Below are 19,958 nucleotides of genomic sequence, written 5' to 3' on the forward strand. Positions count from 1 at the left end.
CCAAATCATACACTCCTCACTGTGTTCCTCACCAGCACAGGTGATACCTTACATCCTGCCTCTTAACACCCACACTGCTAGCAAATGGGCCCTGGACTTGTGCCAGTGCTGAAAGCAAAGCAACAAGATATCCCCATAACCCTCTGCATGGTAGATGAAATAGCAGAAGTTAGTCTCTGCTTTCCTTCCACCTACTAAATCTCATAAATCAGTACCTCTGAACTCATGTCAACTAAAGGATGCTTCACAAGGGTTCTGGTGAGCAGAATTCCCCCAACAGACTAGCACTTTCATGGATTCAGTACCTTATCTCCAGGGAAGACTAAGAGATGGTTCCAGCTTTCACAGGGCCAGGGGTACACTAGTAAGAAATTGGAATGGATGTTGAGAGATAATCCATAACATATATCACAGAATAGTTTACTTTTAATGTGTCATATTAATATATTAATAAGTATGTGCCAAATACTTTATATGCATACAACACTATATATTGACCAGGCGGCCAATAACATTTGCTGAGAAATTCACTGGGCCAGGGTCTTCAATTTCCATCTCCTAGAGCACATAGTGTCTAATCCACTATGTTTTTTATACCACCATTCACGGGATCATATTTAAGCAGCTACTGCATGAATGCTTACTTATAAGAATGAACATCATGGTAACTATTCTGGAAAGCTTTATAAAAAGATATATACTCTCCCAAGAATCTTAATAACTGATAAGATAATACAGTAGAAATATGAACATCTATGAACTAAGTGACAGAAATATGAAAAATGTTCCAAATCAAACCTTGAAACTTAGTTATAATTACCTTAGAGGTGAATAATTTAGAAAGAAAATGGGGGAAAGGAGGTATATTTGAATCATCACTCTCATTTGACTATTTAAGAAACATTATTTAAGTTATACTGACTACTTTTATTCCAAAGTAGCAGATACAGAAATAGTGCAAAGTAAACAGAAGTTCATACAGGGAACAAAGTGTGTAACAGAAAATGGCAAGGCACACTATCAAATACTGTGAACTGATTTTCAGACCAATGCTGAGATGTGTTAAAGTTAAGTTTGGCACACAGCAGATTCTTTACTTGGTAGTAAAGTTTGGCTCAAAGCAGTCTCCATACATAGCAAGCTGTAATCTAGGAGTATACCCTTGTTACCAAGCAACTGTTTCTCCGCCAATCATAGCAGCCAAATCCTCAGTCAATTCCCAGGCTGAAAGCTGCCAAATTATGCCCACATAAGGCAAACATTGAATTGCACCAACAAGGTAATCTCTATATGTTATTTCCTGTTTTCTGGTTATAAATCTAAGTCACCACAATTGGAGGTTGGGGCATTCTGAACCATTTTTAGTCTGGGATGTTGCCCAGTACTAGGACGTTTTTCTGGCTCAAATAAATTTTTTTCAATGTAATTGGTCTCTGGGTTAGTTTTCATTTTTTAATGTCATTGAAAAAATAGTCCAAGACATTTATTTCATTCTGTTGGACACTGAAATTAATACGCTTGATAATAAATCACTAGAGAAAACAACAATTTGACTACTAATTAGGCTACCCATTTGGCAGAATCCACTCTCCAATATAACCAATTTGCAATAAATCATGTGAGAAGGCAGTGCTGGTGGTAAGGGCTATATACTATGATTGCCATTCCCACAGCAAACTTAATACAGATGAGAATTATGGAAATGCCATGTAACATAGGAGGAATAACTAATAAGTTTCCTGGAAGCTGTTTCTTTGTTACTGTTTATATTTGTTTTTATTTTTACCGTAACAGAAACACACAAGATCAAGAAATTATGTGCCACTACTGCACTGTAAAAATCCTGTAAAAAGTAAAAACAAGTCAAGGTGTAATAGTCAGGAGACCAAACCTAAGGAAGGTCACTGTGACCTTTGGTCACCTGACTATTATACTTTCCCTGCACTTTGCAAATGTATCTTGTTGCACATTAGACTAGTACTCTAGTATTCATAGGTAAATATTCACATTGTCAGCAAGAATATCTGGCTGCACAACTGGACAAGTTGGATGATGATAATCTACTTTCCCTACAGTCTCCTGGCAGAGGGCCATGTACACCTGGATATCAAACCATTAGTACCTTCACTCCTTGGAATTCAGATTGACCTCTAAGTTCCTTGAACCAGTCCAGGAATAGAGAATCTTTCCAGACATGAAAAACCTTTTAATCTACTACAGCTGACCCTTGAACAAGGTGGGGGTTGGGGGCATTAACCCACGTGTAGTCAAAAATTTGAGTATAACTTTTGACTCCCAAAAAACTTAACTACTAATAGGCTACTGTTGAGCAATACTATAAACAGCCAATTAACACGTATTTTGTATATTATATATATATTATATACTGTATTCTTACAATAAAGTAAGCTAGAGGAAAGAAAATGTTATTAAGAAAATCATAAGGAAAAGAAAATATATTTACTATATATTAAGTGGAACCATATCATTCAAAAGGTCTTCATCCTCATCATCTTTGCATTGAGTAGGCTCAGGAGGAAGAAGAAGAGAAGGGGTTGGTCTTACTGTCTCAGGGGTAGCAGAGCCAGAAGAAAATCCAAGTATAAGCAGACCCACACATTCCAGACTTGTGCTGTTCAAAGATCAACTGTACTTCACTTTATCCCTACATCTAGTCTGGTTCTCAATTCAGAGGAATTTGAAAATAAGTTCTCTCTCACATTTAGTAAGAAATGCCTCAGGAGGGGTCCTGGGAATGCTCCCAAGAGAGTGAAAAAAACTGCAGGGGGTCCATAATTAACTGGTCAGGAACCCCCAGAGCCGCGTGTCAGTCTCACAGATCTAGAGCTGCCCTTTTATCAATCCCCAGGAACTTCAGCATTACATTCCCATTAATATTAACAGTGTTCTCACTGACAAAACAGAGTGATTATTATGTTCTCACTGGCTCTGCTTATTGAACAGCCCCAATAATTACCTTGAACATTTTATTATCAAGATGAAAATGTAGCATTTTACCTAACCAAGTTGTCAATGCTTTTCTCCGAATACCATTTGCCTTACTCCTCACGCATTTAAATAGACTGCCTTGGGCTGCAGTTGTTATTTTTATATAATTTATGAATCTGGAGAAATCCAGATAGTAATATTACTATCAGCATATTCACATCTGAATGATAATTTTTATGAATACTGTGTTTTTCTCTGGCTACACCAATATCTACCTATGATTAAAAATGTCTGAATTGAAGCCATTTGACATGGCTTCAACCTTCTTCTAATTTATTTCTTTTGAGAAATTTACTAGTTTTCCTTCTTTTCCCCCCACTTTAAAAAGTTATTTTCTCATCATTTACTATTGGAAAAATAGTACTGAATATTCAAGTGAACCAAAATGAGTGAGTAAATAAATGATGTTGATATTGATGCCACACACTAAATTTGCTTCATTTAGCTTTCATCACACTTGTTTGATTAACGGTATATATCACCAGGGGCCCCATGGCTTGGAAGCACCAGAAGCAAGGAAACTGGCATGTTAGTGCATCATGTCTGGCTGTGCTGGCAGGGCCTCTGTAGCTCTATTACTGCTATTCATCTGGCATGCAGCTATGGAACTGGACACTCACGTCCATCAACACAGCTACTAGCTCCAATGTCATAAATTCACTGGTGATGTTTTTACAGGTTAGGGAAAAAATGAGCTTGATAAAGAAAAATACTGCAACTAGAAACAGAGGTGGAGGAAAGAAAAGCATTTCAATCCCAGTGGAAAGCAGACAGAAAGGGCAAGGAGAGGGTACCAGGAGACAGATGTGTTGCAGCAATACCAAAAAAAAAAAAGCAGGGAATAATTGAAATCAGAGGCCCGAGAGCTGTCCCACAGGTTAGGTGAGGCCCCAAAAATCTAACTTTATCATGTTGCTGCTCCACAGAACCAAGCTCTTCTCATAAGCCTCTGCTACTAAATAATTTTTTGAGCTTCATTGTATTTATGAATGCAGAACCAAGCTGTGCAGTGAATTCACTTTTAAACTCTCTGGCTTATTTTCTGAGTTGTCTTTGTAAAAAAAAAATCACTCTTACTCTTTTAACATCTGTTATGAATAAACCATGCCATGCCTTCTTTCAATTCATTTATCTGTATATTCAACTTTCTATTAGCTACAATTTCAACTCATTAAAAAATTATCTTATCCTGGGACTAGAGCCTGATTTTTATTTTTTATGCCAGACCAACTGCATTTCAAAGACTAAACTTTTATGTCTTTCTACTTGGAATTTTTACTAGATTTCTATCTTTTGGCTTCTGCTACCTCTCAGTAAAGTTGAGAACAAAAACATTTGAAAGACTGAAGCAATGAGAATTAAAAGCTTTGGGTTATATTATTCTCCTCATAAGTGAAGTAGGATCCATAGTGCATATAGAAATATTTTTAACATCTGCTTGGTAATAACATCAGTAGTAATGGTAACAACACAAGTAATAATAATATGTTTTTATTCAACTAGCGTTTCTCATACATCCTCAAATACTGAACTTAGGTGGCCAGTTATACATATTTCACATCTCCACTTACCACATATATGCAGTTGTCCTGACCCTGCCTTTATTAACAAAAGCCATACAATACATAGTAAGTACACAGTATCTCATTTAATCTTCACTACAACCCTATGAGATAACATTTTTATTACTTTCTCTATTTTATAGATCAAAACCCTGTGGCACTGAGGGTTTAGTAACTATCAAGGTAATAAGTGATAGAAAAGGAAGGGGAACCCAGGCAGTCTGGCAACAGAGCCTGCAGATTTGACCACTCTGCTATACTGTGGTGTTCCCTTGACCGCTTCCTAGTGACTGATGTGGTTGAGAATGTGAGGACTCAGGTGCAGTAAGGGAGTAGCCCTTCTGCCTGCAGAGAAGACGGATTATATAGAGATAGATGCTCATACACTGCTGATTCCCAGGGAATGAGATAGAAGCAAAACATGGGTTCCTGGCTGGTTTTTCTTCATCCTTTTGCCTTTTACTTCTTCAGCAGTCTTTTTGATCACTGCATTTGGCTTTTGGTTCTCTTAACCATCTTGGGTAGCTGGCAGAGGCATTGATAAATAATCTTGTTTTGGCTGACTGTATCAGACATGTTATGGTATGGTATGTGAAGCCAATAAAATATCTCATTCTGATAGATATTCCCTGGGTGGTACCAAGCACTGCCTTTGGCTTCACACTCATAAGGCACTTTACAGGACAGCCAGCCATCTTTCCCAACCCATGTCACCCATTGTGACATAGGCCTGTCATCCCAGGGCCTGAGTCTTCCAGACCAGCGACATAATTTACCAAAGCAAAATGCCAAAGCCCCTTAGCAGCAAAATATAATAGTTAATTTTGCGCATTATTTAATAAGGTTTCATTCAAGTTCAGTGTTGAGATATTACAAGAAAAAACTACCTATGTTTTTCCCTGAATTTAAATAACAGACATAAATGAAATCAAATCACTAGCAAACAAGATATGTGTGCTGGTATTATATGTGATATTTAGGAAATCTTTTCACTGTAGAAGGACAAACAGAAGCAAGTTTTTATTCTTTTTCTATCAGGAGTCCTAGGTCTGTCTTCATTCACTAATTAATTCATTTAATTAATCAAAAGACATCAATTGGGCACTTATTATGTGTGGGTGACAAGGGTGAAGATATAACCTCTGTCTTCAGGTGGCTTCCATTCTAAGTGCTTAAGTAAGAATATATGTGGTCTTCCATAGCCTAAACAGAATATTGTTATATTGTTATAGGCAGGGCACTGTGGCTCACGCCTGTAGTCCCAGCACTTTGAGAGGCCAAGGAGGGCTGATTGCTAGAGTTCAGGAGTTCGAGACCAGCCTGGGCAACATGACAAAACCCCATCTCCACCAAAAACACAAAAAATTGGCCGGGCATGGTGGCACAAGCCTGTGATCCCAGCTACTCAGGAAGCTGAGGTGGGAGGATCACTTGAGCCCCGGAGGTAGAGGCTACAGTGAGCTGGGATCGCACCACTGCACTCCAGCCTAGGTGTCAGAGTGAGACCCCATCTCAATAAAATAAATAAATAAACAAACATAGAAGAAAATATTGTTATAAGAACAAGGCACCTTGGAAAAATAATGAGTTTCAAAGGTGGGTCTTATAAAGAAGTAGTAGCCGATTTTCCCCTATAAATATTTGAATAGAACAAATAAAAGGATGGAACTTCCTATTTATGTCTTATTCTTAGAAAGGGCAACAAAAAGGAAAATTGCTTGTTCCCTAAAGACTTCTTAAAATATTTGCTCAAAACCTCTTCACAAGGACAACACTTTCAGTAAAACACATCTTATAAAATGTCTTCTGACCTTTATAGACAGTCAGTTTGCCTTTCCCAAAGCTGTTGTTGCACACTATCTGTGCATTATCTGTGCACTAATATTATGGAATCATTTGGTAAATTGGTGTCTGATCCACCTGTTCTCTTTCTTATCCATCTACCCCCACAAAACACACGCCTTCTCCCATGTTTCTAGTGCCATATTTTCTTACCCAACATGACATGCTCCTTCCTCACATTCATCCTCTCATGCTTTTGTAAATACCTTTTGTTAAGGTATTTCATAATTATGCTGCAAGTTGCAGCACTGTGCCAGTGCTAAGCACTTTGAAAACACAATCTCGAACACCGCCAATACCCTACAAAGTGGGTAAGCCCCAACAAGAACCTTGTTGTTGAAATGTCCCCATAGAGCTAAAGTGGATGTGATTTGTTGCTAGGGCACAAGGTCTCCTCTATCTGTGACCTGGGAGCAGGGGTGAGATCAGACAGGTGGGATTGCTCACACAAAAATCAGGCAAAGCAGACTTGGCTTTTTGAAGTCATGTACCAAAAACATACTCATATTACATTCTTTCTCAGACAAAGCTGTAAAACACTGACCAGAAGCCCTAAATTCCAAGATCTTTGCAGAAGGAAGCATTACCCCATTAACATGATGACAGCATTAATCTGAGAAAATCATCAAGAGTAAATTTTCACATTCAACTAAAATGCAATTGCTTTTGAAAAAAGCTAAAGAAGAATGTGTAACACAAAAATAACTTACAATCCTCATTCAGAATATCTGCCTTTTCACACAGCAATGGCAGAAAACCAGCTTACCACCACACACATCTGCTATTTACTGAAGGGAAAACGTGGGGAACTGTGGTCAGCGAAGAAAATCCCTTCTGTGGCTGGAGACCGAAGAGGCCAACTTCAAAGCACCAGAGAGTAGAATATAGGAGTTAAGGATTTACACCTAATTAAGCTTAAATTTAAGTACCTTCATCCATACCTAATGCTATATGTGGGTCTTCTTTTGTCATTTTATAGGGACAGTGCTGAATCATCAAGTCTTCTCCCAGAAACTATCACATGCATGGTTGGCATCTGTGCTCTTGTTATCATCAGAAATAAATCCTATGTAAGTGTCCCAACTCAGGAGACCACTGTTAGAGAATGAATGGTGAGCTTCACAACGCAGTCTTCACTCCACGACTAATCATCAAGTGAGCAGTGTTTACTTGAATTATTAGTTGAATAAAAATTATTTTAGGAAATGAACTATCAAATCCTAGTCAACTTGCAACATCATTATGAACATCACTATCGCCAGTGCTAAGCACTTTGAAAACACAATCTCAAACGCCACCAACACCCTACAAAGTGAGTAAGCCTCAATAAGAACCTTCTCTGCATGCATTGAGATGTATTCATTTCTGAGCTCAGCTAAGTGAGTGAAGACTTAACAATAATTCAGCAAAGCCATACAATGTAGTATCTAGCATAGTGATCAAGCACATAGTAGATGATCAAGCACATGAGACCCACCTTCCCTATGTCTGATCTGTTCCCATGGACTGGTTCCCAATAAATGTTGGATACATTCAAGGATTGAATTTAGTTTGTAATATTATTTAATTTGTAGAATTTAATAATTGATTAGTAAATCAATAATTAGTTACTTGATGTAGCTGTGAAAATTAATCAATCATTGATGCAAAATATATTAAAGAATGAAATCATGATTCAATAAATCAATGGTAACTACATGAGGAAAATAAGACATTCTTTGATAATCAGCTTACCTTCTCCACTCTAATAAATCAGTCTGTGCCAAAAATCAAGCAGACAAATACTAAGTAAATATCATTAGTTCTGTTCACAATTAGACTTTCTGCCCTCCCTTGTGGATGGTTTTGGTGGGGCCAGGCACACTGAGTTCTGTTCAATGAGTTTTGAGTTGAAGTGTCACATTCCATTTCTACATGAGCTTATTTAACCACCTGGGGTAACATCCTTTAGAGTTTCCTTTCTTCCCAAGCATGGTAATTAACAACGTTTGAGATGGTGGATGCTCCATCAACCCATGCCTGAGTGACAAGAATGAACAGAGCACTCAGCTGACCCACAATGGACAGACAGCATGAGCAAGAAATAAATTGTTGTTGTTTAATCCACATCACAGTCGCACATCTTAGTCCACAGTAATTGATAAAGCAAATAAAACGCCAAGATCCTAAAACTTGTAAAAAAATAATAGTGAGCCAGGACCATGTCACAGCCCAGACTCACAGTTACTGATTTTGCTCACCTAAATTACAGGCTATGTCCTTGTCTCCCCCTAAATACCTTTACTCTTATCTATTTATTAATTCCACAAGAATTTAAAACTCTGCTTTCTGCTGAAGCTTGTAATCAGTGCTGGGAATAGTGAGGAGAGAAGGCAATTTATGTCCTACAGAAATGCAATACACATTCTTGTTGAGGAGATTATACTGAGAGCTCTGCTCAAGAGATGTGAAATAAACCAAAAAGTGTCATGAGACCCACCTTCCCTATGTCTGATCTGTTCCCATGGACTGGTGTTGATGAAATTCTTTTGGCCACAGAAACCCATTTGCTTTCTTTTGTTTCATGTCTTAAAAAGATGAGTAGAAGGTCAGATGAGTCATCTTTTGGGAACCTGAGAATTTCAAGCTTTATTTACAAGGATTTCATATTTTTCCATCAAGATGAAGCATTTAACAGAATTTCACATTTTTCTGCCACATGGTAACAATAAGGATGATGATTGATGAGGATTAAATCTCAATGGATTATTTACTGCATTAGTTAAAATTTCATCAGCTTCATGGGACATCTCCTGTCCAACATGTCTTAGGGTACAGATAAGAAATATTATTTTATTTCTGGCTAGGCACAGTGGCTCACGCCTGTAATCCCAGCACTTTGGGAGACTGAGGTGGGTGGATCACCTAAGGTCAGGAGTTTGAGACCAGCCTGGGCCAACATGGCAAAACTCCATCTCTACTAAAAATACAAAAATTAGCCAGGTATGGCGGCAGGCATTTGTAGTCCCAGCTACTCAGGAGGCTGAGGCAGAAGAATCGCTTGAACCTGGGAAGTGAAAGTTGCAGTGAGCTGAGATCATGCCACTGCACTCCAGCCCCCTGGGTGAAGAACAAGACTCCATCTCAAGAAAAAAAAAAAAAAAGAAATATTATTTTATTTCTGTTTGATGTTTAAAAGATTAATTCTGTTTACCTTGGTTCCCAATGAGCCACTTATAAACAATTATATGAGTAACCACAGAGTTTCAGGGTTTAAAAACTGTCTCTAGCTGTGCTTATCACCGGTTGCTTATCACCTTGAATGCATGTTTTCCCTTCTTTCTATTGGAAAAGCATTTATCAGCCATGCAGATAGGCTCAAAGCAAACTAGAAGTTCACTACATTTATTTAATGGTCTGCAAAAATGTCATCAGCCTTCCCATTCTTATCAGAATTATAGAGGTAAAGCTTTGAGTGTGTATGATTTATATAACTATATCTACCATTAGATTATCATACAGTCTGACTTTCAAGTAGTATATATTTGCTTCTTTTTCTGTTTTAAGGCCGTACTTGGAATTTGCTGCTCAAATCATGTAGCTAATTCCAACAGTACCATCTTTTACTATTTCCTCACTACCCTCGAACCCTATTCTTTCCATCCCTTCCATATAATAAAATTACATACCAATCAAGAGTCAAACAGATTACAAGTAAAGCCACTGAATGTGGGCAAATTGTAATTCGTCCATCTAACAAATACTTTTGAGCACTCACTTCATGCCAGATACTGTCCTTGATTCTGAAAATATAGCAATAAAGTACAACAGAGAAGGTACTGCTTTCACAAGGCTTACATTTTAATGAGAGGCAAATAATAAGTAAGATAAGTTCAAATAAGGGCTATGAAGAAAATAAAACAGAGTGATGGGATACTGTGATAGGAGAAGTGGCATCACCAGAGGAGACCTCTCTAAGAAGGTCATATTTGACTTGAGACCCAAATGAAAAGAAGCCAATGATCTGGAGAAAGAGCCATATAGAAACAGGGACTAGCAGGTTCAACAAAGAGCTTGAAGTGAGAAAGAGCTTAGTCTATTTGAAGAAGAGAAAGAAGGCCAGTGTCACTGGAGATGATGTTGGAGAGAAAGGCAGAGGCCAGCCCGTGTAATTCAAGAGCTTCAGTAGTTCAAGATCTTGTAGCTCAAGATCTTTACCTTATGTGGAATAAAATCCAAGATCTTTACCTTGAACTACATGGGCTGGCCCAAGTAGGTGGAAGTTACTGGTGAGTGTTAAGTAGAAAAGTGATATTAAGTTGTAACTATGCAAATATCACTCCAGAAGCCTGATAAAATTGGTCAAACTTCTCAATATTCATAATAGAAAGCTAGTTCTACCAGCTCTACCAGGAATTCACCCAGGCCTTCCTGAGTTTGAAACAGAGAATACCTGAGTTCCAGGTTCTCCTCAGGCTGCTCACACTTGTCTTTTCAGAAAGACCAGCCAAACTGAGGGATCCTGTTGAGCTATTTTCTGAATTCTTACTCTGCCAGTGTAATGTATTACCCAAGCCAGGATCTATCAGAAGATCATTGTCAACTACTTTAGAGGGTAGACAGTAAGGAAAAATTGAAGATAGGGGAAATTACATGCTTTATCACTGGTCTAGCAATTATGTGGATCTTTACAGAATTTCTTTAGGAAAGCATTAGAAAAATAATCAACTCTATTGTAAAATATTAAGTTATTTGTATTAAATAACTTATTTAATTGTAAATTAATACATTGTAAAATATTAAATACTATCATAAAATATTGAATTCTGATCTTAATAGTCTTTGATAAAAACTTAAAGGTTTTCTTACACAGAATCAGTAAAATGTCATTTTTTTCTCAAGCAAAAAAATAAACTTTATGAACCATGCTTGCACCAGTTCTGTGAAATGCCAGCCCAATTTAAATTTACCTAGATTTGTTTTCAACTTGGCAGAGTGCCATTGGTGCTTAGTCGTTAAAACAGGTGGCATTTCTATCAAGAAGTTTCCTATTTCTTCTTAGAAATGTAGATTAATGTGCCTAAAAGATTAAATATCTGTTTTTAAAACCAAAATATACAGATTACCTCTATCCCAAGAAGCAGAAATGTAAGTGTCCTTCCCATTCTTCTCTTTCTTTTCACTGCCAATCCTAAACCTCCTTGGAAGTCCATGAAGAACCACATTTTAAAAACCTTGATAGACTCGCTTCAGAAAATAAATTTTTTTTAAATAACCCACAACAATGTTTATTTGTATAATCCAAGTGACATAACTAGCCTATCCTCCAAATGATAGAGGGATAAGTAGATGACATCTCTCCTTTAAAACTCATTAAAAGTAGAGAAGCTTCCCACTCAACTTTAAAATAATACAGGAACATATTTCTAAGGGCAAACTTATATACCAGAGCAGAGGTCACAAACTGACACATAAATACCTAACGTGCCCAACATATTTTCTCCATCTTGGCATGCAACAACATGAGGAGAAGTCTTGCAATGTTAGCACAAACATTTGAATTAATTGTCAATATTAAATAATCTGATTTCACATCTTGATTTCCAGCTCCTTTTGAAATGTCAGAAGATATGGACCCCCCTAAAGCTGCATGTTTGCCTTTCTGCAAGACAAGAATCCCAAGATTGACAGTGGCCACTCCCTATAAATAGGGAAATACTCTATTTGTCAAGTCCCTACCACTCCTTACGGTTTTTTAAATCTCTCTCTGCATCATTCATTTACAACACCTGCCCAACCTGTGCAAGCAAGCCTTTTTTGGTACTAAAGAAATAGCACAGATAAATAGATGGATGGATGAATCAATAGATAGATAAATATATCACACCTAAATTATCAAGTTTCCCTGAACAGCAAAGGCTTAGAGCAGGCACTCTTGTACCAAGGGCGCTGAGATTACAACATTTCTTGAACTTTGTATTCCTCAGATTAACCAAATCAAACAACAGACTTACATAGTTCAGGCCATCTAAGAATCTGGCCATTTCGGCCAGGCGTGGTGGCTCACCCCCGTAATCTCAGCATTTTGGGAGGCTGAGGCGGGTGGGTTACCTGAGTTCAGGAGTTAGAGACCAGCCTGGCCAACATGGTGAAACCCCATCTCTACTAAAAATACAAAAATTATTCGTGCATGATGGCACATGCCTATAATCCCAGCTACTCGGGAGGCTGAGGCAGGAGAATTGCTTTAACCCAGGAGGCAGAGGTTGCAGTGAGCCAAGATCATGCCCCTATGCTCCAGCCTGGGTGACAGAGTAAGACTCTGTCTCAAAAAAAAAAAAAAAAAAATCTGGCCATTTCCAGAACTCTAAATCCCAAATCCCACTATTTCTGCTTGTTCTTCAACAAAACAAGAACCAGGACTTGAGGAGCTGAGCAGGAAAGGAATCACAGCATCTTCCATGGACTTCCATCCTGTTCCTGCCTACTGCCTTTCCCCTTGTTTGTGCAGATAGCATGCTTTTTTTCCCCATTTCTCAGGGTTTTTATATCTAAGCTAAGCTCTTTATGTTTATTTGTAGGACACCAAGCAATTTGAGGCCTATTTACCCTCAAGTATAACTGCCCCAAAGATCAAGAGAAGAAGAAAGTCAGATCATACACCAAGTGTCTTCAAAGGCTAAAACACCACTATTGTTTCAAGCATAAGGCACTTGGGGTGAAGTTCTCCCTAAGTAAAACACATATAATGTTCCCACTGAATTGAAATATATGTAGGACCATCATCAAAAGCATTTACCAGATAACAATGTGCATGAAGCACTGTACCAGGCACATCTCAGGGTAGCCATGATGTCAATGAACCTTAGTGGCAATCAAGGCCACTTACTAGCCCTTTGTGTGAAAGAGAAAAAGATATCCCTCCCTCTGGGCTGGCACAGACTCACATCACACTGCATGGCTTGGCCAAGCCAAGTGTGGCTGCCGTTCTGCACTTACTCACCCCCTGCAGCCCAGCCAACTTGTGCAGTGAAGAATCTGCAAAAATAGTTGCAGCCGTACAGCCCTGGGAGAATTTAAACTTCATGCAAATGAAATAAACATGCACATGAAATTCAACCAGGAGATTTACCTGGCAAGTCAAGAGATTAAAAGGGCATGAATATCTGAATTTTTTTATCAGTTACTTGTTTTTTAATCTCTTAAATGAAACAGATTCTAGAACTTTTGAAAAAGGGAAATAAGTGAGTGTCACACCAGACCAAGAGAGGAGAAAATTAAATCCAAGCTCCAACCACTCATCCTAATCTTTGAGATCACTCTGTCCTGGTGAACATGCCTTCCGGGTGGGTGGATACACAGTCTCTTTGGAGAACCAATTTTTTTTTGTTGTTGTTGGGAGATAAAAAGCAATTTACAAGAAGAATTTTTTGTCAATAAAATTTCTACAACGGCCAGGCATGGTGGCTCATGCCTGTAATCTCAGCACTTTGGGAGGGCGAGGTGGGCAGATCACCTGGAGTCAGGAGTTCGAGACCAGCCTGACCAACATGTAGAAACCCCATCTCTACTAAAAATACAAAATTAGCCAGGCATGGTGGTGCATGCCTGTAATCCCAGCTACTCAGGAGACTGAGGCAGGAGAATCACTTGAACCCAGGAGGAGGTGGAGGTTGCAGTGAGCTGAGATCACGCCATTGCACTCCAGCGTGGACAACAAGAGCGAAACTCCATATCAAAAAAAAAAAAAAATTATACACCAAATGGAAACTTTGAAAAAACATTTTCTTTTCTTTTTTTTCATCCTAATAGCCCAAACTAGGTCATCTTTCCTACTCCTTAATAGAATATGAGTTTCCACAAGCTGCCCAGTCATACTAATCTGAAATTTCTCCTGTCCTATCTCACAGTTCAATTTCATGTTTCTCCCTCCTGCTGGGACCTGGCTACTCTGGGCCTTCCAGTGGGAGTCCTGATGCCCTGGCTCAGTATGCTTGTCATTATAGTCTTCTGTACTATTTGAATCTGAAGAATAAGCACTGAATACTAAATTAATTTTTTCTGAGCCCATCAGAAGGACACAGCTCAAGTGCTCCTATGACTCTTTTGGAGGAATCACCAGGGCTAAGTCCCCAGACTCTAACATGATCCCCTGCTTCCCCTTGGACTGAAATAGCTGCCTGTCCTGTCCAGCCCTGACCTGTCCTGTTCTGCCCTGCCCTCTCCAGAGAAAGCACATTCTGTACGTCATTACTGAGCGTTCTTTTTCAGATCTTATAGACAGTGAATATGAAAGAAGCATTATGGAGAAGGAGATTTATTGTGATTCATTGAAATGTTTTTGATGCTCTACAATTCCCTGGTTTTGTCCAAGCTGCAAATATTTCAAAGAACAGATCTCCATTATGCTCATAAACTTACCCATTTTATAAAATAACAACGATAAGTTTTCTTTATTTAAAATAGGAAAAGTCGTACCCTCCTCCTGCAGACAGAAGGCTTGTGTTCTGCAGTTTACAGGTAACAACGATGTGGCTTCACATTCCTCAGCAACAATGTTAGAAAGGCATTGCAGTTGTCTAGGAATGCCATTGCAACCCCTAGGGCACTGTGCATGAAATGGCTGAATAGTAACATTCTGGCAGTCACGATATTAAGTTTCACTGGGAATATCGTGACCTGTGTTCTGGGGCAGGGAGGTTGGCAGGATGTGGGGGTTAGGGGGACCCTTTTCTCCCTCTGGCCACATTTTGCTTTAATGCATGAAACAGGAATTACCATCAACACCTGTTGGTATTGAGAAAGCAGTGCTTTCCTTTGCTCTAGCATTCATTCATTTTCCGTGAGGGCCAGAAGAGGGAATTATTTGATCCTTGAGAAAATTCTGATACGGTTTGGCTCTATGTCCCCACCCAAATCTCATGTTGAATTGTAATCCCCAGTGTTAGAGGAGGGGCCTGGTGGAATGTGATTGCATCATGGGGGCGGGATGTCCCCCTTGCAGTTCTCGTGATAGACTTCTCAGAAGACTTGGTTGTTGAAAGTGTGTACCAGCTCCCCCTTCTCTCTCTCTTCTTCCTGCTCCATCCAAGTGAAGATGTGCCTGCTTCCCCTTGCCTTCCACTATGATTGTAAGTTTCCTGAGGCCTCCCCAGAAGCAGAAGCCTGGACAGCCCGCAGAACCATGAGCCAATTAAACCTCTTTTCTTAATAAAATACCCTGTCTCAGGTATGTCTTTATAGCAGTGTGAGAATGGACTAATATTTCAAATATTTCATTACACACCCATAACCCAGCCATGGTGCTGGCAGCCTCTCTCAGTTTCTTGCTGTCCCACTCCTTCTCTCCTCTGTGTTCTGCTTGTTTGAACCCCACTCTCCCTCACCCTGTCTGTCTTCCTCTCTCCTCTCCTGCTTTCTATGCCTTTTTTTTTCTCTTCTTACCTGTCTTCCTCCCCTTTTCCACTCTCCCTCCACTCTGGCCACCAGCCTGACAGCACAGATGTTTTTCTGTCCTCCTTGTTTGAAGCCACCAGGGCAGGTGCTGCTGCTTTGTTTGTGACTGAAGAGGTGAGTTCAGCACAGAGGGGAATGGTGGGCAGCCCAGGGAAACCGCCACCAGAACAAGGGGTACCATTAGCAGAGAGGACATTTTGATCCTCTTCTGACTTCCACGTCTTTATTTCCCCATGGGTTCAGAACCCACAGAAAGATGAGGCAGGCATTAAGCCTCTTCAATACCCAATAACTCCCACAGCTAGGAACAGAGTGCACAGGACAGAACAGTGAGTCAACTGACCAGAGCACCAAGGCAGAGAGAGGCGGGATGCAGACAGGGGTTGAGTGGGAGTGAAACCTCATGAGCCAGGCCCAGGGACAAGCCACGAGGAGCATGCGCACCATGGTCCATGTCATAGGGACTTCCTTACCTTGCCTTTAGAAAAACCAACAAAAACCTTGTGTTTAATGAGATTGAGGCTTGTCTGCTTCTATTCATAAGACCCCAACATATGAAAGCCACACCCCAGAACAAGGCAGAGTAGGACGAAGACCATATAAGACTAAGTGTGGGGTCTGCAGGAACAAAGCTCACATGAGAAGTCAACATGCACACACAAAAAAAAATCAGACCAGACGTGAATCGAGGTCATTCTGTGAGTGATATTCATTCATGAGTTTTTAACCAGACTCTTAGTAAGAAAGAACTGGTAAATCATATCCAAAACCTTTCATGTAGTATCCACAGATGTCATTTGTAATTAGGCCTTATCATGAGCATTCCTAGCATTAGTTTCATTTTTTTTCAATTAGTGCCTCTGTAAAGTCCTAAATTAGAGAACCCCTGCAGGATTTATCACAGAGAGAAAACCTAGCTGAGTGAACACCTGTGAATTTACTCAGTCCAGAGTGGCTAGGCCAGAAAGCAGCTCCCCTAACAGGACAGAGCCTTCACAAGGCCAGCTCCTGCCCCAGAGGCCTCTGGGTAGAGTACCCATACATCCCAGTTTGCCCAAGTAGTGCTGGTTCACAGCCATTGCCCTGGTGTTCATAGCACCCCCTTTCGTTCTTAAAAGGCCCCAACTTGCATGTTCAATCAGAAGGTCTCTTTGGTATGCGCTATATAATGGACTATTTATAATTCATTAGAGGTGTTGTAACAACATATCATCGACTACATTCAACAGAATCTCTGGAACTAAGGAAAAATTAGAAATGAAACTTACTTAAAAATTATCTTCATGAAATTTGTGGGAAGATAAGCAATATATAAGGAAAGGCAAGAATACAAATCAACCTAGAAGAGAAGGAAGTAATAAGAAGAAAGAAAATGCAAACCTGACCTTAATTTTCCATCATTCTCATTAACGATGACTGCTAAAAGCTGGTCAGCCACGCTATTTGAAAGCAATTTTGGAAATTAATCCTTTAAGAACATTTTTTAACCTTTGATTCATGAGACAAATGGCCTTTCTATTTTAACCAAGATACCCAGATAGTGATTAGTCATTACTAAAACAAGGATCCCAAATCTAGTTTTGTGTATATGTGTGTGTGTGTGTGTGCGTGCGTGCATGCCCACTTGTGTGTAAGAGAGAGGGAGGGAGAGAGAAAATGAGAGAGAGAGAGGGAAGGAGAGAGAAACTGAGAGAGAGAAGGCGATTTTAGTAAATACACAAAATGAGTGAATTGTCCCTTTCCCTTTAAAGCCACCCAGGGAACTTAGCTGTTCACATTATCATCAACCTGCTGCATTTCTCTCCCTAGGAGACCACAAACCAGGAGAAACCATATGTGAGCTCACAACTCTAGCAAAAGCTTTGTTTTCATTGCATATGATTTGATTAAAATGATATTGCAGCCTTAAATTTTTTTGTACAGAGTTCTAGTGCTGAACTAACAGGCAAAAATTAAACAAGGTCAAGAAGTGAGCTATCAGGATCTACTCTGTATCCACCTTAAACAACCAACTCCTTCCCAGGTTGCACTACGCGAATGGCCTTTGCTGACGTCTTCTGAAACAGGATTAGATATAGCCATGCAGCTGATGTAATATTGTATCATCATTCCCATGACAGGTACATGGTGGACTTTGTCACAGCAAGATGCTGCTCCCCGTTCAGTCCGCCATGTGGTGATTCTCTTTCTCCTGTCACCATCGTTGTGTCCCTAATTTCCCCCAGCTCCCTTTACCCAATATAATCGGAGATGCATTAAACAACTCAGCCTTTTTTTCCTAGCTGCACTTGTCAACAATTTCAACACTGCCCTGTCACAATCCTAGACTCCAACCTGGGCCTTATATTTTTTTATCTTAATTCTCTATTGAAATATAATATATGCACAGAAAGTACACAAATCATAAAGGCAGTGGATTTTCACAAAGTGAACACAGTCAGGTAATAAAATTTAAAAAATTAGAACATTGCAGGACCCTAGAAGCCCACTTATGTTCTATCTCAGGCACCTTCTCCCCTGAAATATAACCACCATTCTGACTTCTAACACCAGAGCTCTGATTCTAAGCTTTATGTAAATGAAATCATGGCATGCACTCTTTTGTATCTGGATGCTTTGATCAACATTTTATTTTTTAGATTCATCCATATTGTATGTATTGAAGCTCATTCTTCTTTATTGCTACTGCGTGTTTCATTTTGTCAGTACACCAAACATTAGTGAGTTGTTTGCATTTTTCACCATTATAAATAATGCTACTATATGCATATGTCTTTCAGTACAGAAATGTACACATTTCCACTGGACTATAAAAACGGAATTGCTAGGCTATAGGATATTACATAGGTTCAGCCTTCGTAGATACTGAAAATGGTTTTCATAGATACTGAATCTACCCATTTACACTCTCACCAGCAGTCTAGGAGCATACCAGCTGCCCCACCGTCTCACAACACACAGCATTGTCAGTCTTTTTTATTTTAGCCATCCTGATGGATGTCAGATGGTATTGATGTGGTACTGTAGATTTCATTTGCATTTCCTGCTGGCTAATGAAGTTGAGCCACCCTGCTTTCTTAAGGTTTCAACTTTTACCAAGCCAATGGCCAGTCCTGGCACTCAGCTCCTCTCTGGTTACCACCTGCAAGGAATGCTGAGGAAAGAAGCAAGGGTCTGTACATTCTTTCCACTCAAAGCCTTCCTGTCTGTTGGCCTTTCTCAATGGTCCACCAATTGATTCCAAATCATGTCTCCATCTCCTGTACAGGTCACCCTGGTGGCAGCCTCTTTTCTCCTGCAATATCCAGTCTGACACCTGCTTCCCCCTTATAAACTATTCTTAAGCTTACCAGATAGCCTTACCTCCCACTTGCACCAAGACAGACAAGCTCCTGTAGTGTGAAACCTGCATGTTCCCTTGCAGCCCTTATTTCATTCTTTTCTTCAGGCTCAGAGGAAGCATTGTTCCTCTTCTCTAAAACCTGTAATCACTGAGAAAATGTGTTCTTTTGAGTTTCCTTTGACACGTACTCTCTGTGTGACCAAGTACAAGTTACTTGACCTCTCCCGGACTCAGGTTTCTTCCCTGGAAAATTAGAATATTTCTTACCTCTTAAAATTGTTGTGAGACTTAAAGGATAATGTGCTTAAAATCCCTGGTTCAATGCCTGGTAGATATTTTGTGCTTAGTAAATATTAAACTCTTTCCTTCCATTTCTCCTTTTATCTCTCCATTATTAATCTCCTCCTTTGCCTTAGAGGCAGTGAGATGGAAAAAAACTTGGCGTTCACAATCAGACACACCGCAATTTGAAACCTTATGTTTACCATTGACTAGCTCAATTATTAACTCCCCTACGTCAGTTTCTTCAACTCTAAAGTGGAACTGTGGGTGTTACACTCAGAACCGTGAAAATACAAGTCACTCCGGCTGACTGCAATTCTAGATTAGCTGTCTCAGACTGGTGGCCCACGGGCCATACCCGTCCTGTGTTGAGGTTCATTTGGTTGGTTGTTGGTTTTTACTTAAATTGTCTAGAGTTAAATATTAGGATAATTTACATTACATTTCAAAATGCGGGCATCTTTTGAAAAAACTAGATCTAGCAA

The 19,958-nt window shown here is 39.5% G+C and overlaps 1 protein-coding gene across 12 annotated transcripts in view, besides 2 other annotated features; it reads right to left on the minus strand.

Annotated features, from left to right (window-relative positions):
• Positions 1-19,958, minus strand: part of PDE4D (phosphodiesterase 4D) — a 1,553,091-nt gene that overhangs the window by 1,384,285 nt on the left and 148,848 nt on the right. Inside the window, exon 1 of one of the 12 annotated variants that reach the window (NM_001364600.2) lies at positions 19,212-19,341. The exons of the other annotated variants lie outside the window; for them this stretch is intronic. The gene's annotated coding sequence lies outside the window, so the exon portion shown is untranslated. Of the gene's footprint in view, positions 1-19,211; positions 19,342-19,958 lie in introns of those variants that run through there. 12 annotated transcript variants of the gene reach the window in all.
• Positions 8,185-8,686: an enhancer, noted in NCBI's record as "NANOG hESC enhancer chr5:59657334-59657835 (GRCh37/hg19 assembly coordinates)". NCBI's record gives its function as "activates a minimal SCP1, AML or CMV promoter by ChIP-STARR-seq in naive H9 embryonic stem cells {active_cell/tissue: H9 hESC(naive)}" and the evidence as "EXISTENCE:reporter gene assay evidence [ECO:0000049][PMID:30033119]".
• Positions 17,086-18,285: an enhancer, noted in NCBI's record as "MED14-independent group 3 enhancer chr5:59666235-59667434 (GRCh37/hg19 assembly coordinates)". NCBI's record gives its function as "activates an origin of replication core promoter dependent on BRD2, BRD4, P300/CBP and CDK7 cofactors, and independent of MED14, by STARR-seq in HCT116 cells {active_cell/tissue: HCT116}" and the evidence as "EXISTENCE:reporter gene assay evidence [ECO:0000049][PMID:35650434]".

The sequence above is a fragment of the Homo sapiens genome, chromosome 5 (genome assembly GCF_000001405.40).
Source record: "Homo sapiens chromosome 5, GRCh38.p14 Primary Assembly".
Taxonomy (NCBI): domain Eukaryota; kingdom Metazoa; phylum Chordata; class Mammalia; order Primates; family Hominidae; genus Homo; species Homo sapiens.